Source organism: Homo sapiens, chromosome 1 (assembly GCF_000001405.40).
Source record: "Homo sapiens chromosome 1, GRCh38.p14 Primary Assembly".
Classification (NCBI taxonomy): Eukaryota; Metazoa; Chordata; class Mammalia; order Primates; family Hominidae; genus Homo; species Homo sapiens.
Genome location: NC_000001.11, coordinates 23,005,228 through 23,027,646, shown reverse-complemented (window position 1 = coordinate 23,027,646; position 22,419 = coordinate 23,005,228). Strand labels below are relative to the sequence as shown.

Below are 22,419 nucleotides of genomic sequence, written 5' to 3'. Positions count from 1 at the left end.
TCTAGACCAGCCTAGGCAACACAGGGAAACCCTGTGTTTACAAAAAAATAAAACAACTTAGCCTGGTGTGGTGGCATGCACCTGCAGTTCCAGCTACTAAGGAGGCTGAGGTGGATCACTTGAACCTGGTGGGGGCGGGGGGGGGTCAAGGCTACAGTGAGCTGTGATCTAAACACTGCACTCCAGCCTGCGTGACAGAGTCGAGACCCTGTCTCAAAAAAAAAAAAAAAAAAGCAAACAAAACCAACCTTCTACCTTTTGCACAATTTGTCAAATCAGTACCAGACTGCCACAATACTTCATAAACAAAGCAAAATACAGAAACAAAATTGGATTCTTCCCTGGTGGTCTAGTCGCTGGGGGAAAAAAATGGATTCTAAGGCTAAAAGAAGACTATCATGCTTAATTTCCAATCTCAAATTTGGCTTCACCTCATTTTCTCATAGACTGACAACTAAAATAAATGTTATAAATTTTAACTTCTTAATACTACTTAATAGTAGTGTGTTTTATTTTGGGATTTTTGCTTAAAATTTTATTTTATAAAAAAGGCTTTCCTCATTTAATAAAGTTTTTTTTTTTAGATAATTTTAAAATTGCCCAGAGCCAAGAAGTGACCATTTAATAAAGTTTTAAAACCATCTGAAAGAATCATACAAACTTCAATAAAAACTATTCCCCTGAGAAAAGGAATGTGTACTTTGAACCTAAAGGATTGGGACTCTCTCATCCCTAAGTAAAAACCCCAAAGACTTCAGAGATTCTACAACTACTTACAACCAAGGACATAAAGATGTCCCAACAGGCAGACTATGAGTGAGTAGGGTAATTATTCTTACTTTCACATTGATGACTCTGAAATTTAAATCTTTAGTCTCTTCCTTCTCCTCCCCACCCTTATTACAATGATTCATTCACTCCTCAATGTCCTTAAAGCATCAGTCTTTATAAAGAAATATTTCTTGGGCGGGGCATGGTGGCTCACACCTGTAATCCTAGCACTTTGGGAGGTTGAGGTGAGCAGATCACTTGATCTAAGGAGTTTGAGACCAGCCTGGGCAAAATAGCGAGACTCCATCTCTACAAAAATTAGCTGTGGGTGGTGGTGCACATCTGTAGTTCCAGCTACTTGGGGGGGCTACGGCAGGAGGACCACTTGAACCGGGGAGGTCAAGGCTGCAGTGAGCCATGATCGGGCCACTGCACTCCAGCCTGGGTGACAAAGTGAGACACTGCCTCAAAAAAAAAAAAACAAACAGACAAACAAAAAACAAAAACACACAAAAAAACAAAACTTTTTCCTTTCACGTTGCATTCCTATATCATAACATCTCATGTACCCCATAAATATATATACCTACTATGTACCACAAAAAATAAAAATTAAAAAAAAACTTTCTCCCTTTTATCTACGGCAAAGCTGCCAGATTAATTTTCCCATTATGTGATATTTTCTAATAGCTTAACAGATATGAACGTCAAATTTTTCAAACCAGCATATACACTCTCTGGCCTTGACTATTCAAACTGCCTTTTTTATTTTTATTTTTATTTTTTTAAGACAGGGTCTCACTGTCGCCAAGGCTGGAAAGCAGTGGCGTGATCTCAGCTCACTGCAACCTCTGCCTCCCAGGCTCAAGTGATTCCCCTGCCTCAGCCTCCTGAGTAGCTAGGACTACAGGCGCATGCCACCACACATGGCTAATTTTTATAATTTTGTATAAACAGGGTTTTGCCGTGTTGCCAAGGCTGATATCAAACTCCTGGGCTCAATCGATCTGTCCACCTTGGCCTCCCAAAGTGCTGGGATTACGGGCATGAACCACCATGTCTGGCCTGAATTCAAACTTAATTCTAATCACTAACACACGAGTAAAAAAGTCCTCAATGCTGCTCTACCAACCTCTAAGTTCCCTAAAGCTACTTCCATCTTTTTCTGTTAATCCAATGCCATATATTCAAGGTCCACCTCCTCTGAAGATTATTTCTTAATTATTCTAAATTTAAAAAATACACCTGCCAGGTGCAGTGGCTCATGCCTGTAATCCCAGCACTTTGGGAGGCCGAGGTGGGTGGATCACCTGAGGTAAGGAGTTCTAGACCAGCCTTACCAACATGGTGAAACCCGTCTCTGCTGAAAATACAAAAATTAGCTGGGCGTGGTGGCAGGTGCCTGTAATCCCAGCTACTCTGAGGGCTGAGGCAGAAGAATTGCTTGAACCCGGGAGGTGGAGGTTGCAATGAGCCAAGATCACACCATTGCACTCCAGCCTGAGGGAAAAGAGTGAGACTTCATCTCAAAAAAAAAAAAAAAAAATCTTTCATCTTCTCTGAAGTCTCACAGCACTTATGGTCTGCACTTCATAATCTAGTTCAAGGCTGTCTGATAGAACTTTTTGTCATAATGGAAAACTTCTCTATCTGTGCTTCCAATTCTGTGGCTTCAACATGTGCTATATTGAGCACTTATAATGTAGCTAATGTGACTGAAGAAACTGTTTTTAATTTCAATTTAAACTTAATAGCCACATGTGGCTACAGGCTACCATATTGGACAGCAAGAATCTAATGCTCACTACAACCTGGACACAACTCTACAACCCCAACGCTACTGGTCCCTTCAATCTATCTTGTTCCTAGATGATTCCTGTTTCTAATTAAATTCATTTGTCCATTGTTCTCAACATTCAGTTGTCCACTCTGGATTCCCTGATGCTTCTCAAACCACTTCCTTTTCTCCACTGGTAGTATCTTAATTACTGGTCACCTACTAATTATACGCCAAACACTGCAATAAGCATTTTGTTTATATTATATCTAAACTTTACAAGGTAGGGCTTATTTACCTGAGGAAAATGAATCAGAGGAAGATGAAATACTTAAACTCCAAAAAGTCCACCCTTTTCCAGAACACTTTTCTAAATTCTGCCATTTCATGGCCTAGCTCAAGGCCACCATTCCTAAAGGAGTATGGTGTTCGTGAAGTTCCAACCCAATTTACCAATTTAAAACCTTAAATATTTTGCCATAATTTTAGCATACACATGCCCAAAAGTGAATTTATTCTGAAACTAATGAAACTGAAGCTTCAGGGACACTCAATTACATGAACTCCTTCCAATACCCTAAACATAATTTTAATTATGTAATGATATAATTTTGTTAAAGTACAGTCCTCAAAACTGGATAAGCTCCCAAGTCATAAAATACATGCACTTTTTTCCTTGCATACACTGAAGAACTACTGAAGCATGGCCTATCTATACTGGCCTCAGCTTGCTTTTTATTCCTTAAATGGATACTCTATCCTCTAAAGTCTGTTTCCTCTGGATCCCAAGACTGGATAGTTGCTAGCTTCCTAGTAGTTGCTGCCCCAAACAAACACATAACTAATTTTTTTCCTGAAAGTTTAAGAGCTAATTACAATGGGGGATTAAAAAACAGGGTAAGTAAGATGAGTTAAAATAAACACAGGAGAATTACAAAGAAAAAAATCTTGGTTGGGTGAGGTGGCTCATGTCTGTAATCTCAGCCCTTTGGGAGGCTGAGGCAGGAGGAATGATTGAGCCCAGAAGTTCGAGGCCAGCTGGGGCAACACAGGGAGAAGCCATTTCTACAAAAAATAAAAAATTAGCCAGGCATGGTTGTGTACAGCTGTAGTCCCAGCTACTCAGGAGGCTGAGATAAGAGCATCACTTGAGCCTGGGAGGTTGAGGCTGCAGTGAGCTATGATTGAGCCACTGCACTCCAGCATGGGTGACAGAGTGAGAACCTGCCTCCAAAAAATTAATCAGTTAGCTAAAAAAAGAAATCTTTCTTGTAGGAGATAGCTTAAAAAATAACAGTAAAATCTAATAGTGTGCCCCAAACTTACAATCTGCAGATTCAACACAATCACAATCAGAATCCCAGCAGCCCTTTTTGCAGAAACTGACAAGCTGGTCCTAAAATTCATATGGAAATGCAAAGCATTCAGAACAGCCAAAATAATCTTGCAAAAGAAGAACAAAGTTGAGGAACACTTCCTAATTTCAAAATTTATTATGAAACTAAAGTAATCAGGATAGTGTGGTACTGGAATGGACGGAAATATATAATAGATCAATGGAATAGAGTTGAGAGTCCAGAAATAAACTCTTAGATTTATAGTTAATCAATGAGGGTGCCAACTATTCGCTGAGAGAAAGAATAGTCTTCAATAAACTGTGCTGGGACAACATGCAAAATAATGAAACTGAACCCCTACCTCACACCATATACAAAAATTAACTGAGAAAAGATCATCGACATAAATGCAAGAGCTAAAACTAAAAAACTCTTAGAAGAAAACATAGGAGTAAATCCTCGTGACATTGGATAAGGCAATGGTTTATTAGATATAACACCAGAAGTAAAGGGAGCAAAAGAATAAATTGGATCTCATCAAAATCACAAATTTCCGTAACCAGAATATGTAAAGAACTCTTACTAGAAAATGATGAAGACAACTCAATTTTTAAAAATGAGCCAAGGATTTGAATAGTCATTTCAACAAAAATATAAAAATGGCTAATAAACACATGAAAAGATGCCCAACATCATTAGTCATTAGGGAACTGCATATCAAAACCACAATGAGATACCACTTTACCCCCAATAGGATGGCTACAGTAAAAGACAAACAATATTAAATGTCAAGAAGGATATGGAGGCTCAACAAGGTGGCTCCACCTGTAATCCCAGCACTTTGGGAGGCCGATGTGGGTGGATGGCTTGAGGCCAGGAGTTTAAGACCATCCTGGCCAACATGGTGAAACCCTGTCTCTACTAAAAATACAAAAACTGGCCAGAGGTGGTGGCAGGTGCCTGTAATCCCAGCTACTCGGCTGGCTAAGGCAGGAGAATCGCTTGAACCCAGGAGGAGGAGGCTGTAGTAAGCCGAGATCACATCACTGCACTCCAGCCTGGGTGGTGACAGAGAGAGACTGTCTCAGCAAAAAAAAAAAAAAAAAAAAAAAAGAAGAAGAAGGCCAGGCGCAGTGGCTCATGCCTGTAATCCCAGCACTTTGGGAGGCCGAGGTGGGCAGATCACCTTGAGGTCAGGAGTTTGAAACAGCCTGACCAACATGGAGAAACCCCATCTCTACTAAAAACACAATACAAAGTTAGCCGGGCATGGTGGTGCATGCCTATAATCCCAGCTACTCGGGAGGCTGAGGCAGGAGAATCACTTGAACCTTGGAGGCGGATGTTGCAGTGAGCCGAGGTCATGCCACTGCACTCCAGCCTGGGCAACAAAAGCGAAACCCCATCTCAAAAACAACAACAACAAAAAAAAAAAAACGAAGAAGAACATTGGAGAAACTGGAACCCTCATATATTTACTAATGGGAATGTAAAATGGTGCAGCTGCTATGGGAAACTGTTTGGCTATACCTCAAAAGTAAAACCTAGAATTAACATAAAACCCAGGAATTCCTAGGCCCACACCCAAAGAGAACTGAAAACATATTCACAAAATAAACTGTACATTAATGTTCACAGCAGCATTATGTAAAATAGCCAAGACTTGGAAACAAACCCCAATGTGCGTCAAATGATGAATGGGTAAACCAAATTTGGTATATCCATACAATGGAATATTATTCAGCCATAAAGAGTTATCAAGTACTGAATGAAAGCACTACAACGTGAATGAACCCTGAAAACATGCTAAAGCCAAATACAAAAGGCTACATAAGATTTTATATAAAATGTTCAGAATAGACAAATCCATAGACAAAGAGTAGATTAGTGGTTGCCAGGGACTGGGGGTAGGGAGGACTGGGGAGTGACTGCTAATGATACAGATGTCTTTGGGGATGATGAAAAGGTTCTAAAATCAATTGTGGTGTTGGCTGTACAATCTTGTAAATATGCTAAAAACCACTGAATCATACATTTTAAAATGGTGAATATTATTATACATGCATTATCCCAATAAGCCTGTTTTTTTGTTTGCTTTTAGACAGTTTCGCTCTTGTTGCCCAGGCTGAAGTGCAGTGGCACGATCTGGGCTCACTGCAACCTCTGCCTCCCGGGTTCAAGCAATTCTCCCTAACTCAGCCTCCGGAGTAGCTGGGATTACAGGCGCCCGCCACCACGCCCGGCTAATTTTTTGTATTTTTAGTAGAGACGGGGGTTTCATCATGTTGGCCAGGCTGGTCTCGAACTCCTGACCACAGGTGATCCACCCGCCTTGGCCTCCCAAAGTGCAGGGATTACAGGAGTGAGCCACTGTGCCCAGCCAATAAATCTGTTTTTAAAAACATCTTATACGTGGCTTCTGGCCACCTGTCTATTGAAATCGTAAAATAACACTCTTGACTTCTGCCCTTTATTTCATTTCTGAGGGCTGGTGTCACCAACCTCTGTGCTTTTCTAACCCATGCTTTGGTAAAAGCTCCAGAAAGTCTTGCCTCCAAAACGGTCTTTCATCCAGCACTGGTTATACTTTAGAGAGTTGGCTCAAGTAGGCAGATAAATATGAGAGCTCTCAGACTGGGTAATACTCATCTCAAGAAGCTCCCCATACACACTGACTTGGTATTCCCACTTAAAAATTATGTAGACAATTTTTTCAGGCATAAATTATATAATCTGCAAATTTTTATTTAAATGTTGACTACACGCACATATATATCCAGGTTGTTTTTTCCAACTAGACCGACCATTAAATCTCCAGAAAAGGCCCAAGTCTAAAGTCTGCGCCCTAATACTGCCCCAGTGCCCTGCACACAGTGTCCCATGTGGTCCTTTGTTTCAAGGGCTGATGATACCCTGTAACAACATGAATGTGGGAATTACATTCCACTTCCATCACTTATTTAGCTTTGTGACTTTAGGCAAGTTGCTTAAATTGTGTGCCTCAGTTTACTCATTCCTAAAATAGGGCTAGCAATACCTGCCCGTTGATATTTAACAACAACAAAAAAAAGTAATGTTGGTGACACGCTGAATATAGCATCTAGGACACAGACATTTGAGGCAGTCACTGTCTGTATATACTGTTTGGAGTCAAATCTTTTCTTCCCATATATTTGCATTTTGACTATTATTTGCTCTCTCAATCAGCAGCTTCCTCATCTGCAAAATTCTGCGCCAAAAGATCGCTGAGAGGATTTTAAAAAAGAAAAAAAAAAAGACTAGAACTCCTACCACACAGCAGGGTTTTGCTCAAACAAAAACAAAAGCAAAAACGACCCTTTCTTTTCATCTCCCCGGCTAAGGCGATTTCTTCAGCATCAACCTACAGCCCCCTCGTGCACCCAGCTGAAACGCCATCAATATCGCCCAACAGCTTCCAGACCTATCTGTGAACAAACAAGTGAGGTCTCCAAGAACGCCAACCGTAACCCCACGTCAGGGAGCCATTTTCCAGTCAAGAAAATGAAAAGGTGTGCAAGAAAGACCTAAGGAATAAAATACCCCTCCCAGCAATCATCGATGCCCCTTCCCACGTCGCTCGGGACCCAGCACAAAGACCGCAGTCAACACCGGCAAAGACTTTTCCTTTCTCACCCCACCCGTCCAGCTAGAGGGGACGTGGCGTGCGCAGCGATACAAGGGGAGGTCTGAGTGGTCGCAGGGCCCAAGACCCGGCGGCGGCGGGGGAGGGCGGAGAAGCCTCGGGGAAGCTCGGCACCAGGCGGTGTCGTTTGAGGGAAGGGTCGAGCCTTACCTTCGCCCGCTTGCGCCGGCTGGTCCGACGCCCCTCCGGAGTCTCTGCTATTCCAGTTTCCATGGGGGTCGCAGACCCAGGCACGACAGTAGGGCCGGCCTGAGGCCCTGCGGACCCCGGCGGTTCCGCCAGGCCCCCGGGGGGCGAGGCCCGCGGAGGCTCTTTCTTGCGGGGTGTGCGCTCCCCCACCGCCCCCGGCCCGACCTCGGCTGGGCCCGACAGGCCCGCGGGCTGCGCGGCCACCTCAGACCCGTTCTCGGAGCCGCCTGCTGTCCCAGGGCCAGCCTCCGTCCCGGTTGCTGCCGCTGCAGCCGCCGCCGCCGCGGCTGCCGCCTTCTTCCCAGATAACATCTCGGGCCGCCGGGCCGCCGACGGCCGTAGGGGCCGCTCGCTCTGTCGCTCCGTGGGTCCGAAAAGCCTTGCCTCGCCTCGCTTCACGCTGCCCGCGCGCCGCCAACCGCCGTCGCGTACGCACGCGCCAAGCGCGCTCCCGCCGCGCCGGGACAAAAAGGGTCGGAGACACCCACGAGCCCCGCCCCTCCCCCGCAGCCATAGAGCGGCGTTCTCGCGGCTAGAGTGGCACCGCAGCAAAGAACGTGTAGCTTGCCTAGAGCGTCTCCCCGGCGTTTGGAGTGGGACCTGGCACAGTCCGTGGTCTTAGGGCTTCTGGGCCAGACTAAACCTCCGAAGGTGACCATTTCCTCCAGGGACTTTCGGGTTTGCATGCGTGCGTTCGTTCATTCACTCACCCAATTATTCGTTAATTCAACCAGTATTTATTAATGCTTGCCTACTACGTAACAAGGGTTACATTATGAAGTTCTAGCTTTCAAAGAACTTACAGTCTAATGGGGGAAAACACTGAAATATGTTGGTAGAGCGTCTTACTTATTCATAATTGCCCTGCTTGGACTGGGCAAAAAACTTGGAGAGCACAGCAGTTTCGATGGTAGTAAAATGGAGACAAGTTACGAAATCCAGGTTTGAGTCCAGACGGAATTGCTCTTGTCTCCAAGCCTTTGTTCATGCTTTTCCTTCTGGCTGGACCCCAACCTCATTCGCACTCCATGTCTTGCGCTTCTCCCATCCCCCATGTCCCCCATCCCCCATGTCCCCCATCCTTCATGTCCCCCATCCCCATCCACATAACACCTCTTTCTACTCCAGGTTAATTCTTTCTAATAATGATAGTAGCGGTTTATTCTTTTAATTTTTCGAGGAATCCCTTGCTAACCCAAAACTGGAACAGGTCGTGTACTTTTAGCATGCGTGTACTTATTACACAAACAATTGTCTTTTTAATAGTCTGTCTCTTCGAAGTGAAATTGTCAAAAAATTATTCCATTTACATGAAGTTCAAGAACTGGTAAAACTAATCTCCAGTAATAGGCTCCAATCAGCCCTTGCCTGAGATGGGGGTCGGGGGTTGACTGCAAAAGAACAAGAAAGAACTTGCTGGGGGTGATGGAAATGTTTTATATCTTGATTAGGGTGATGGTTACATAGGTGTATATATTTGTCAAAACTCTATGAACTATCCATGTAAAACAGGTATGTTTTATGTAACTGTAGTACTTCAGTAAAGTTGTTTTTTGTAAAAAACTAAGCAAACAGACAAAAAGGCAATCAAATGTAGAAAGGAAAAAAAGTAAAAGCTATGCAAGAAAGAAAATGTATCCGAGTGGCGTGGCACGCACTTGTAGTACCAGCTGCTCGAGAGACTGAGGTGGGAGAATCACTTGAGCCTAGGAGTTCATTCAAGTCCAGCCTGAGCAACATAGTGAAACTGCGTTTCTAAAAAAAAAGAGAAAAGAAAAAGAAAGAAAATATAATCATAGTACAACATATGGCTCAGCTGTGAACTGTATTAACATGACCATAAAAACGTAAGCAGTGAATATTGTTTTATTTATTTTTTCTGTTCTTTTGTTTGTTTGTTTCTTCTTTTTTTTTTTGAGACAGAGTCTTGCTCTGTTGCCCAGGCTGGAGTGCAGGGGTGCAATCTTGACTCAATGCAACCTCTGCCTCCCAAGTTCAAGCGATTCTCCTGCCTCAGCCTCCCCAGTAGCTGGGATTACAGGCGTGTGCCACCATGCCTGGCTAATTTTTGTATTTTTAGTAGAAACAGGGTTTCGCCATGTTGGCTAGGCTTGTCTCCAACTCCTGACCTCAAGTGATCCTCCCACCTCGGCCTCCCAAAGTGCAGGGATTACAGGTGTGAGCCACCGCGCCCCGCCGAGCAGTGAATATTGTTTTAACCAAAGTGATAGAATTACATTAAGAGAATGGAGAAAAAAGAAAGTTTGTGGGGAGAAAGATGAGAAGGTTTTAAGGATTTAGGGAAGTAGGGAGGTTGTTGGGGGAGGTGCTGCTTGGGAGCTAAATTATTTTTCACCATAAAAATATAATACATAATGTTGGCCAGGCGCGGTGGCTCATGCCTGTAATCCCAGCACTTTGGGAGGCCGAGGCGGGCAGATCACGAGGTCAGGAGATCAAGACCGTCGTGGCTAACACGGTGAAACCCCGTCTCTACTAAAAATACAAAAAAACTGGCCGGGCATGGTGGCGGGCGCCTGTAGTCCCAGCTACTCGGAGGCCGAGGCAGGAGAATGGCGTGAACCCAGGAGGCGGAGGTAGCAGTGAGCCGAGATCGCGCCGCTGCACTCCAGCCTGGGCGACAGAGCGAGACTCCGTCTCAAAAAAAGTATATATATATATATATATATATATATATATATATATATATATATATATATATATATATATAAAATACATAATGTCAAAATTGAGAAATCAAAAAATAATATAAGCATACTATTTAGAAATATCAAGGTAAATACAGAAGAAACAGCTAAAAAAGTTGGAATTGGTTGTCTCTAAGGCTTGGAACTTGACGGTGGAAAGAGGTGAGGCAGTGGATTGGAGCTTGTTTTAAATCCTGTAGTTCTATCTGACTTGTTTGCACATTTAATAGTTTGATAAAACTTGAAATTAGATGTTAAAAACATACATACCCTTTGACCAAGTAATTCTACTTTCAGGAAAGCATTCTAGGGAAAGATTCAGTATGTGTACAGATTTAACTTCAACACTGTGTATCTCAGGTTATACGTAATGACGATAAAGGAGAACTAACCTAAAAACCCAACAAAGGCCAGGCACAGTGACTTGCATCTGTAATGCCAGCATTTTGGGAAGCCGAGGTGGAAGGATTGCTTGAGCCCAGGAGTTTAAGGCTACAGTGAGCTATGGTCACGCCACTGCACTCCAGCCTGGGCAACAGAGCAAGACCCTGTCTCTAAAACAATAAAAATTTTAAAAAGCCCCAACAAGTGGTAACCAATTTGATACAATCATACACCGCATAACAATGTTTCCATCAACAACAGACTGCATATGAGATAGTGTTCCCATAAAATTATATAACACATTTTTACCATACCTTTTCTACCTTTTCTATGTTTAGACAGAATTGCTACAGTATTCAGTACAGTAACATGCCATACAGGTTTGTAGCCTATTAACAATACACTATACCATATAGCCTAGGTGTGTAGTAGGCTATACCATTTAGGTTTGTGTTAAGTATGCTCTATGATGTTCACACAACAATGAAATTGCCTAATGGCGCTTTTCTCAGAATGTATCCCATCGTTCAGTGAGGCATGGTCCTAGCAAGGCATGATTCTATATTGGAATATCACAGCCACTAAAACTGATATTTTTACATAAAGAATTCCTGGCCGGGTGTGGTGGCTCATGCCTGTAATCCCAGCACTTTGGGTGGCCGAGGCGGGTGGATCACCTGAGTTCAGGAATAGGAGACCAGCCTGGCCAACAATGGTGAAACCCCGTCTCTACTAAAAATACAAAAATTAGCCAGATGTGGTGGCACTTACCCGTTTTTTCCCCAGAAATAACTAATTCATATCAGATGTTTTTATTGTGATAAAATACACATAACATAAAATTTATGATCCTAACCATTTTGAGTATACTGTTTAGTAGTGTTAGATGCATTCACATTGTTGCATAAACAATCTCCAGAATTATTTTCATCTTGCAAAATTCTGTATACATTAAACAATGACTACATTTGCCCCTCCTTCCAGACCCTGGCAGCCACCATTCTACTCTTTGCCTCTATGAATTTGACTATTGTAGATAGCTCATGTAAGTGGAATCATACGGTATTTGTTTTTTTTTTGTGACTGACTTATTTCACTTAGCTTAATGTCCTCAAGGTTCATCTATGTTGTAACATGTTAGAATTTCCTTCCTTTTTAAGGCTGGTAATATTGCGTGTATATAACATTTTATTATCCATTCATCTGTGGATGGACACTTGGGTTACTTCCACATTTTGGCTATTGTGAATAATGCTGCTGTGAACATTGGTCTACAAATATCTCTTCAAGACTCTGCTTTCAATTCTTTGGGAATACCCAAAAGTGGAATTACTATAGCAATGTATGCTTTTTTTTTTTTTTTTTTTTTTTTTTTTTTTTGAGAAGGAGTCTTACTGTTGTCGCCCAGGCTGGAGTGCAGTGGCGCGATCTCGGCTCACTGCAACCTCTGCCTCCTGGGTTCCAGCAATTCTCCTGCCTCAGCCTCCCGAGTAGCTGAGATGACAGGCGCCCGCAACCACGCCTGGCTAATTTTTGTATTTTTGGTAGAGACGGGGTTTCACCATGTTGGCCAGTCTGGTCTGGGGTGGTCCACCCGCCTCAGCCTCCCAAAGTGCTGGGATTACAGGCGTGAGCCACCGTGCCTGGCTAGCATTTTTTAAAAGCTGATGTCTTCACTGGGCACGGGGACTCACACCTGTAATCCCAGCACTTTGGGAGGCCGAGGTGGGCAGATCATTTGAGGTCAGGAGTTCGAGACCAGCCTGACCAACATGGTGAAACCCTGTCTCCACTAAAAATACAAAAATTAGGTGGGTGTGGTGGTGCGTGCCTGTAATCCCAACTACTTGGGAGGCTAAGGCAGGAAAATCGCTTGAACCTGGGAGGCAGAGGTTGCAGGGAGCCAAGATGGTACCAGTGCACTCCAGCCTGGGCAGCAGAGTGAGAGTCTGTCTCAAAAAAGAAAATAAATAAATAAAATAAAATAATAAAAGTTAATGTCTCCAGGAGGGAGAATTGCTTGAGGCTAGGAGTTTGAGACCAGCCTGGGCAATATAGCAAGACCTTGTCTCTAAAAAAATAATTTTTTTTTTTAATTAGCTGGGCATAGTGGCACATGCCTGTAGTCTTAGCTACTCAGGAGGCTGAGGCAGGAGGATCACTTGAGCCCAGGAGTTGGAGGCTTCAGTGAGCCACAATCACACCACTGCACTCCAACCTGGGCAACACAGTGAGACCTTGTCTCAAAAATAAAATAAAATAATAATAAATAAAAAATTAATGTCTAACTATACAGAGTCCAAAACCTAATCAATATTACATATTATATTAAACAAAGTTACCTTCCCCTAAAGTATCAGGTGACCAATAGATGGGCTAGTATAACTGTGAAAGCAGTTATGTCTAAGTTTGGATAACTTTTCTTTGCCCCTATGATGGTAGGGGCTCTGTATTGGCCATTTTTTTTGCTAGTAGCGAGGCCCAGAAGTACTGGTGAATGAATGAGGAGGCCTACATCACCTGGCTATTGTGAGGACATCATGAGATAATGCTTTCAAACTGCCTGTCAAAGAGTCTGGCACATAGTGGGTGCTTCAGACAAAGGAGGAGTTATTATTATTGTTATGCGGCAGCTGGGTGGGGGGAGGGAGCTGGCTATGACTCAGAGGAGTGGGTGGCCGTGACTCTTGTCATGGAGGGGCCTGAGGCAGGGTCCTGGGGCCTGTGTGCCTCCACGCCATAATGCTGGCAGAACTGATATTTCTCTTTAGGAGTCTCCATGGGATACTTGCCTCCGCAGGCACCATAGGAGCAGTGGCAGCTTGGCTGATGAGCTATAAGCCAGCCTTGTTTGGGTTCCTATTCCTTCTGCTGTTGCTTAGCAACTGGTTGGTCAAGTATGAACACAAGCTCACCCTCCCAGAGCCCCAGCAGGTGAGCACAAGATGGGGCTTGGCTTCAGCTCAGGGATAGGGGATATTTGCAGCTAGATTAGGTGGGTAGGGAACAGGGTAGGTGTCGAAATAATGGGGCAAGACTGGGGAATCCAAGACTGGTCTAAACCACCACTCTACAGCTTCCTCTTAGGTGGTGCTGGGTAAATCACTTCCCTCCACGAGGCCTCAGTTGCCTCACCTCAGCTGTTAAATCAGGACCACCCCAGACTCTCCTATTTCATGTTTGATGTCAACATGCTTTGGCAAGAGTAACAACTACTTTAATGTGAAAAAAATAAAAAAAATTAACATGGACGAACATAGATACGTATCTAAAATAGAATAATGAAGACAGCAGAAATGTACATAGATTATGACATCTTTCATTTAATGTTAAAAAACATGCTAGGCTGGGCGCAGTGGCTCACGCCTGCAATCCCAGCACTTTGGGAGGCCGAGGCAGGTGGATCACTTGAAGTCAGGAGTTCAAGATCAGCCTGGCCAACATGGTAACACCTCGTCTCTACTAAAAATACAAAAATTAGCTGGGTGTGGTGACACACACCTGTAATACCAGCTACTCAGGAGGCTGAGGCAGGAGAATCACCTGAACCCAGGGGACTGAGGTTGCAGTGAGCTGAGATCATGCCACTGCACTCCAGCCTGGGCAACAGAGCAAGCTTCCATCTAAAAACAAAAATAAAAAGCAAAACAGCCTGGCGCAGTGGCTCACAGCTATAATCCCTGCACTTTAGGATGCCGAGGCAGGTCAACGACCACTTGAGGCCAGGAGTTTGAGAATAGCCCAGGCAACATGAGGAAACCCCATCTCTAAAAAAAATACAAAAATGAGCCAGGCATGGTGGTGCGTGCCTGTAGTCTCAGCTACTCAGGAGACTGAGGTGGGAGAATCACCTGAGCCCGAGAAGTTGAGGCTGCAGTGAGCATGCCACTGTACTACAGCCTGGATGACAGAGTGAGACTCTGTCTCAAAAAAAAAAAAAAAAAAAAGGCAAAACAATAGCCTATCTTATTTATGGATGTGTATGTGCAGTGAAAGTATTTTAAGGCAGGATGCCTCAACCTTGGCACTATTGACATATTGGGCCAGATAATTCTCCATTGTGGGAGGCTCACCTGTCACCTGTGCATTGTTAGCTTAGCGGCCACCCCGGCCCCTACCCATGAGATGCCAAGTAGCACACCTGCCATTTCATGACAATCCAAAGTATTTCCAGATATTGCCAAATGTCCCCTGGGGAAGGCAGAATGCCTCCCATTGAGAACTACTTTATAAAGAAATGCATGGAAAAATAAATTTTAAATGCAGGATTACAGTTAAGGTGATGATATTCAGGGAGGGAGGAGGATGCTGTGGGTGTGAGAGTCCACAGGGAACTTTAGTTATATTTATGATATTTTATTTCTTAAGTTGATATGGGAATATGAGTATTTGTTGTATTATTTACCTTTTTGCATGCCTGATATGTTGAATTTTTTCAGTTAACCTTTTTTTTTTTTTATGTATTTAGTTTTTTGAGACAGGGTCTCGCTCTGTGGCCCAGGCTGGATGCAGTGGCACAACCATGGCTCACTGCAGCCTCGACCTCCCTGGGATCAGGTGATCCTTCCACCTCAGCCTCCCAAGTAGCTGGGACTACAGGTGTGCACAGGGCTAATTTTTTCTAGTTTTTGTGGAGACGGGATTTTACCATGTTTCCCAGGCTGGTTTCAAACTCCTGGGCTCAAGCGATCCTCCTGCCTCGGCCTTCGAAGGTGCTGGGATTACAGCCATGAGCCACCACACCTGGCTTAATTTTTAAACATTTTTAAAGACCATTAGTTTGTAGCTGAATCCAAAAAGAAAAAAAAAATAAGTGTTATTAACCAGGGGAGGGAGAGATGAGGATCATAGAGATAAAAGCATGTCATGAGACCATTGAGACTTCGCAGTTTGAGATCGTACTGAGCCTGACAAAATGCTCAGAGAGGCATGTTGGAAAAACGGGCTCTGGAGATAGATATATTTAGGCTAAGGGCTTTATGTCCACTGTGACTGGCAGATTAGCGGGCCATCTCATGCATTCCTATGAACCAAAGGCAAGTGGAGGACTCGGGAATTTGAGGCTGTATGATGCTGAGAAAGTGACCTCCCAAGCTGGGCCTGGTGGCTCACGCCTGTAATCCCAGCACCTTGGGAGGCCAAGGCGGGCAGATCACCTGAGGTCGGGAGTTCGAGACCAGCCTGGTCAACATGGTGAAACCCTGCCTCTATTAATAATTACAAATACAAATACAAAAATTTCTACTAATACAAAAAGTTAGCTGGGTGTGGTGGCACGTGCCTGTAATCCCAGCTACTCTGGAGGCTGAGGCAGAAGAATCGTTTGAACCCGGGAGGTGGAGGTTGCAGTGAGCCGAGATCACACCATTGCACTCCAGCCTGGGCAACAAGAGTGAAACTCAGTCTCAAAAAAAAAAAAAAAAAGAAAGTGACTTCCCGTTACTGGGTCCCAAGTCTCCACAAAATGAGGCAATGATGCTCCCCTTGCAGGCAGTTGTGAGACTCTGTTAAGATAATGTTTGTAAACCACCTGGCACAGAGCAGGTGTTCAAGCAAGGAAGGGATTATCATTATTAACCAACTTTCCCCTTTTCCTGGTGCTGGGGAGCTTAAAAGGAGGAAGAGAAACCAAAGACTTCTGAAAACGACTCCAAGAACAGCAAGGCCGTGAACACAAAAGAAGTCAATAGAACGCATGCCTGCTTTGCCCTCCAGGACGAGATCCTCCAACGGCTGTTGTTCAGTGAAATGAAGATGAAGGTCCTAGAAAATCAGATGTTCATCATATGGAATAAAATGAATCACCACGGGCGGTCAAGCAGACATCGGAATTTTCCCATGAAAAAACACAGAATGAGGAGGCATGAGTCAATTTGCCCCACCCTGTCTGACTGTACTTCGAGTTCCCCCAGCTAATGAGGCCGAGGCGGGCTGGCCTCTGCCGATGTTACCTTTTACCTCAGTAAAACCCAGTCACAGCCTATTGAATGTTCATAGTAAGTCATAACAGAAAGGTGCCTAGGAGCCAGGAAGAGGATCAGAGGCTGAAAGATTGCCTCTGGAAAAGAAATCTGTACACACCAGGTCTACCAGGTAGCACGTAGTGACACGGCCTGATGGGGCTCTAGAACCATCCCTTTCTAGAGTCTTCTATTTCAGTTGGTTCTACCCTGGTTCCTCCCTGGCCCTGTGCTGTTCACTCTGAGTCTCCCCACTCCTGCCCTAGCCCCTAGTTTCCCCTCTCATCCTGTACCCAGAGGCCGAAGCCAGCCCTGCCAAGCCTGGCTCTGACCATGTCCATTGCTCATTCTTTTTTTTTTTTTTTTTTTTGAGACAGAGTTTCGCTCTTGTCACCCAGACTGGAGTGCAGTGGCACGATCTTGGGTCACTGCAACTTCCACCTCCCAGGTTCAAGTGATTCTCCAGTCTCATCCTTCCAAGTAGCTGGGATTACAGGCACCCGCCACCATGTGTGGCTCATTTTTGTATTTTTAGTAGAGACAGGGTTTCACCATGTTGGCCAGGCTGATCTCAAACTCCTGACCTCAGGTGATCCATCTGCTTTGGCCTCCCAAAGTGCTGGGATTACAGGCATAAGCCACCACGCCCGGCTCGTGTTACTGCATTTCAACCAGAGCTCGGTTGCCCACTGACAGATCTGAGCCGGTGTTCTGTGTTAAAAAGTGAGATCAGCAAGTGTTAGCGTTTGAAAGACAAGCAAGCACCTAGCCGAGACTTTTCTTCATAATGAAAACTGGAAAGGAAATCATTATCTCACTGTTTGATTCAGTGTGACTTAGTGTTAGGTTGGTGTTCTACCTAAAATCGTCTCTCTCATGCAAGTCTCATGCATTCTAACCAAACCAGAGAACTTGCCATCCCCCAAATGCATCCACATAAGCTTACATTGTTTCTTCACGTGATCCCTAATTTTCTCCTTTCTGCTGTTACAATTCTTCACTTCTTCCAAAGCCATCACCTCTAGGAAGCTCCCCTCAAGCCAGCTATAATGAATCTTTTTCCTTAGCATTGTTTCCACATTTTATGTGTAGTTCTACAATAGAATGTTTCACAGTCTGCTGGGATTTGATTTGTACACATTACTACAGTCCCTCCCCATGCTTCAACTAGACTATAAGCTCTTTGAAGACAAGCACAGAATATTGTTCATCTGTATATCCCTCCCCCACCCGTAGCACCTAACACAGTGGCTAGTATACAAGCAGTGCTCAATAAAGAATACCTAGGCCAGGCGTGGTGGCTCACACCTATAATCCTAGCAGGGGTGGGCAGATCACCTGAAGTCAGGAGTTCGAGACCAGCCTGGCCAACATGGTGGAACTCCGTCTCTACTAAAAATACAAAAATTAGTCAGGTGTGATGGCACATGCCTGTAGTCCCAGCTACTCAGGAGGCTGAAGCAGGAGAATTGCTTGAACCTGGGAGGTGAAGGTTGCAGTGAGCCAAGATCATGCCACTGCACTGCACTCCAGCCAGCCTGAGCAACAGAGTGAGACTTCATCTCAAAAAAAAAAAAAAAAAAAAGAATATGATTGCTTATCAGTGTCTTACGTGTCCAGACATTTTCTCACCCCTTTCATTTTATGATGATTCTCCTATATCCTACTTTGTTTTAAAAGCAGAATCTCTGGGGCTAAACTGCCTGGGCTTAAATCCTAACTCACCAACTCTCTGTTGTGTGATCTTGGACAACTCTTGATTGTTTATTCTTCCTGTACCTCAGTGTCCTTAACTGTAAAATGGGCAGATTAAGACTATGAATCTTATAAAATTTATAGATGGTGTCTTAGTCTGTTTGTGCTTCTATAACAAAATTTCTGGCTGGGCCTGGTGGCTCACGCCTATGATCTCAGCACTTTGGGAGGCAGAGGCAGGAGGATCACCTGAGCCCAGGAGTTTGAGACCAGCATGGACAACGTGGTGAAACCCTGTCTCTATAAAAAATACAAAAGAACTAGCTGGACATGGTGGTGCACGCCTGTGGTCCCAGCTACTCGAGAGGCTGAGGTGGGAGAATCACCTGAGCCTGGGAGGTCAAGGATGCAATGAGCCATGATTGTACCACTGCACTCCAGCCTGGGTGACAGAGTGAGATCCCATCTCAAGAAACAAAAACAAAAAAATTAGCCGGGTCTGGTGGTGTGCACCTGTAGTCCCAGCTACTCGGGAGGCCGAGGTGGAAGGATCACTTGAGCCTGGAAGGCCGAATTCACAATGAGCCAAGATCGCACCGCTGCACACCAGCCTAGGTGACAGAGTGACACCCTGTCTCCACACATACACACAAATACCTGAGACAGGATAATTTATTTTAAAAAACACACAGATACTTATTTCTCACAGTTCTGGAGGCTGGGAGGTCCAAGATCAAGGCTCTGGCATCTGGTGAGGTTGGCTCTCTGCTTCCGAGATGGCACCTTGAAAGCTAGATCTCTGGAGAGGAGGAATGTTGTGCCCTTATAAGGCATAAGTGGAAGGGCAAAAAGGAACAAACTCCTTCTATGAAGCATTTTTTTTTTTTGAGGCAGAGTCTCGCTCTGTCGCCCAGGCTGGAGTGCACTGGCGCAATCTGGGCTCACTGCAAGCTCTGCCTCCCGGGTTCATGCCATTCTCTTGTCTCAGCCTCCCAAGTAGCTGGGACTACAGGCGCCTGCTACCATGCCCAGCTAATTTTTTTTTTTTTTTTTTTTTTGTTTTTTTTTTTTGAGACGGAGTCTCGCTCTGTCACCCAGGCTGGAGTGCAGTGGCCTGATCTCTGCTTACTGCAAGCTCCGCCTCCCGGGTTCACGCCATTCTCCTGCCTCAGCCTCCCGAGTAGCTCGGACTACAGGCGCCCGCCACTATGCCTGGCTAATTTTTTTTTGTATTTTTAGTAGAGATGGGGTTTCACCGTGTTAGCCAGGGTGGTCTCAATCTCCTGACCTCGTGATCCGCCCGCCTCGGCCTCCCAAAGTGCTGGGATTACAGGCGTGAGCCACCGTGCCCGGCCGCTATTTTTTTTTTTTTTTTGTATTTTTAGTAGAGATGGGGTTTCACCGTGTTAGCCAGGATGGTCTCGATCTCCTGACCTCGTGATCTGCCTGCCTCGGCCTCCGAAAGTGCTGGGATTACAGGCATGAGCCACTGCGCCCAGCCCTATCAAGCATTTTATAGTGGCATTGACCCATTCATAAGGGCGGAGCCCTCATGACCTAAATACCTCCCCAAAGGCCACACTTCTCAATACCATTCCATTGGAGATTTTTTTCAACACATGTATTTTGGGAGACACGTTCAGACCACAACATTCTTTCCCTGGTCCCCCAAATTTATGTCCTTCTCATGTGCAAAATATATTTAGTCCATCCAGATAGCCCCCAAAGTCTTCACTCATTCTAACATCAACTCAAAAGTCTGGAATCTCATCTAAATCAGATACGGGTGAGACTCAAGGTACAATTACCCTGAGGCAAATTTCCCTCCAGCTGTAAACCTGTGAAATCGAACAAATTATGTGCTTGCAAAATACAGTGGTGGGGCAGGCATAGGATAGATATTTCCATTCCAAAAGGGAGAAATAGAAAAGAAGACAGGAGTAACAGGCCCCAAGTAAGTCCAAAACTTTTTTTTTTTTTTTGAGACAAGATCTGGCTCTATCGTCCAGGCTGGAGTGCAGTGGTATGATCTCAGCTCACTGCAACCTCGTCCTCCCTGTCTCAAGCCATCCTCCCACGTCAGCCTCCCAAGTAGCTGGGACTACAGGTGCGCACCACCACACCTGGCTAATTTTTTGTATCTTTTGTAGAGACAGGGTTTCACCACGTTGCCCAGGGTGGTCTCAAACTCACGAGCTCACGATCTGCCTGCCTTGGCCTCCCAAAGTGCTGAGATTACAGGCGTGAGCTACTGTACCTGGCCTCTAAGTACAAAACTTAACTGTGCAAACAACATTAAATCTTAAGGCTTGCATAATCTTTGAGTCCATGTTCTGCCTCCCAGACACACTGGTATGAAGGTTGGGCCTCCAAGACTTTGGGCAACTCTACCCCCGTGGCTTTGCTAGCTGCAGTTGTCACACACATCGAAGGTGGGTGCTTGGAGTAGCACACTAATGCTCTACAATTCTGAGGTCTTCCCACTCCTATGGCTCCACTAGGCACTGCCCTAATCGGGACTCTCTGCAGAGGTCCCAACCCCACAGTTCTGCCGGGCATTGCTCTGGGTTTGGGGGGCGGCTCTCTGTAGTGTAGTGGCTCTAGGTCTCTGCCTAAGTCCCCAGGCTCTCTGAGGCATCCCTTAAAATCTGGGTGGAGGAAGCTATGGCTTCACAGATCCTGCACTCTGCACACCTGCAGAATCAGCACCACACGGATGCTGCCAAGACTCACTGATTATGCCCTCTGGAGCAGTGGCCCCAGCTGCACTTAGACTTGCTTTAGCCACACCAGCAGAGGCTGGTGTGCTGCACCAGAACACAGGGAGGTGGTCCTGGAAAGCAAGCCCTGATGTCCCACAGGGTCCCCTGGGCAACTCCTCCAAAACTGTTCTGCCTCCAAAGTCCTAGCACTCTGAGCCTGTGATGGATTTGGCAGTGCCCGAAGATCTTCGAGATGCCTTTGGGGTCATTCTCCCATTGTCTTGATGAATAGCATCTGGCTTCCTTCTATCCATAGTGATCTTACCAAATGGTCCTTTGCTTGGTTTAGTGTTCTCTCCTAAAAACACTTTTTAATTCTTTACATGGCCAGGCCTGAGAAATTTCCAAATATTTATATTCTGCTTCCCCCTTACCAACTCCCTTTTTTTGAGACAGAGTTGGAGTCTTGCTTTGTCATCCAGGCTGGAGTGCATGGCGCAATCTTGGCTCCCTGCAACCTCTGCCTTCCGGTTTGAAGCAATTCTCCCGCCTCAGCCTCCTGAATAGCTGGCATTACAGGTGCCCGCCACCACACCTGGCTAATTTTTGTATTTTTAGTAGAGATGAGGTTTCACCATATTGGCCGGGCTGGTCTCGAACTCCTAGTCTCATGGTGGCTGCCTGCCTGGGCCTCCCAAAATGCTGAGATTACAGGTGTGAGCCATGGTGCCTGGCCTGCTTCCCTTTTAATTATAAGTTCCGCCTTTAAATCATTTCTCTCTTCTTGGACTTTACTGAAAGCAGTTAATAGAAGCCATGCAGCGTCCTGAACACTTTGCTGCTTAAGGATTTCTTCTACTAAATATCCTAGTTAATCAACTCTTGTAAACCAAAAAGTATCTGAGACAAGTCTCAATCAATTTAGAAAGTTTATTTTGCCAAGTTTAAGGATGCATTCATGACACAGCCTCAGGAAGTTCTGACAACATGTATGCCCAAGGTGGTCGGGGTACAGCCTGGTTTTATACATGTTAGGAAGTCATGATACATCAATCAATATGCATAAGTTGTACATTGGCTTTGGGAGGCCAAGGTGGGGAGATCACTTGAGGTCAGGAGTTTGAAACCAGCCTGGCCACTGTGGTGAAACCCTGTCTCTACTAAAAATACAAAAAAATTAGCTGGGTGTAGTGGTGGGCACCTGTAATCCCAGCTACTCAGAAGGCTGAGGC

General features: G+C 44.9%; 2 protein-coding genes across 10 annotated transcripts in view, besides 4 other annotated features; one reads left to right on the top strand and one right to left on the bottom strand.

The window, feature by feature from the left end:
- KDM1A (lysine demethylase 1A) overlaps positions 1–8,179 on the bottom strand; it is a 64,222-nt gene extending 56,043 nt beyond the window's left edge. For all 9 annotated transcript variants that reach the window (NM_001009999.3, XM_006710473.4, NM_001410762.1 and 6 more), the window contains exon 1: positions 7,700–8,179. In NM_001009999.3, the coding sequence (NP_001009999.1) occupies positions 7,700–8,050 (351 nt within the window). In that variant the 5' untranslated portion in view covers positions 8,051–8,179. The remainder of the gene's footprint in view (positions 1–7,699) is intronic.
- Positions 7,002–7,687: an enhancer, noted in NCBI's record as "H3K27ac hESC enhancer chr1:23346453-23347138 (GRCh37/hg19 assembly coordinates)". NCBI's record gives its function as "activates a minimal SCP1, AML or CMV promoter by ChIP-STARR-seq in primed H9 embryonic stem cells {active_cell/tissue: H9 hESC(primed)}" and the evidence as "EXISTENCE:reporter gene assay evidence [ECO:0000049][PMID:30033119]".
- Positions 7,688–8,375: an enhancer, noted in NCBI's record as "H3K27ac hESC enhancer chr1:23345765-23346452 (GRCh37/hg19 assembly coordinates)". NCBI's record gives its function as "activates a minimal SCP1, AML or CMV promoter by ChIP-STARR-seq in primed H9 embryonic stem cells {active_cell/tissue: H9 hESC(primed)}" and the evidence as "EXISTENCE:reporter gene assay evidence [ECO:0000049][PMID:30033119]".
- Positions 7,863–7,932: a silencer, noted in NCBI's record as "silent region_404". NCBI's record gives its function as "represses an Ori minimal core promoter by ATAC-STARR-seq in GM12878 lymphoblastoid cells {active_cell/tissue: GM12878}" and the evidence as "EXISTENCE:reporter gene assay evidence [ECO:0000049][PMID:35858748]".
- Positions 11,795–16,813, top strand: TEX46 (testis expressed 46). The gene is made up of 3 exons (NM_001242521.2): positions 11,795–11,875; positions 13,602–13,764; positions 16,546–16,813. Coding segments are annotated over exons 1-3 (366 nt in total). The 5' UTR covers positions 11,795–11,873; the 3' UTR covers positions 16,747–16,813.
- Positions 16,087–17,286: an enhancer, noted in NCBI's record as "CDK7 strongly-dependent group 2 enhancer chr1:23336854-23338053 (GRCh37/hg19 assembly coordinates)". NCBI's record gives its function as "activates an origin of replication core promoter dependent on BRD2, BRD4, P300/CBP, MED14 and CDK7 cofactors, with strong dependence on CDK7, by STARR-seq in HCT116 cells {active_cell/tissue: HCT116}" and the evidence as "EXISTENCE:reporter gene assay evidence [ECO:0000049][PMID:35650434]".

Excerpts from the sequence above, each read along its gene's own strand:
- TEX46 (NM_001242521.2), top strand. Across the intron at positions 13,765-16,545 it reads CCCTCCCAGAGCCCCAGCAG|GACGAGATCCTCCAACGGCT; the intron begins GTGAGCACAAGA and ends TTTGCCCTCCAG.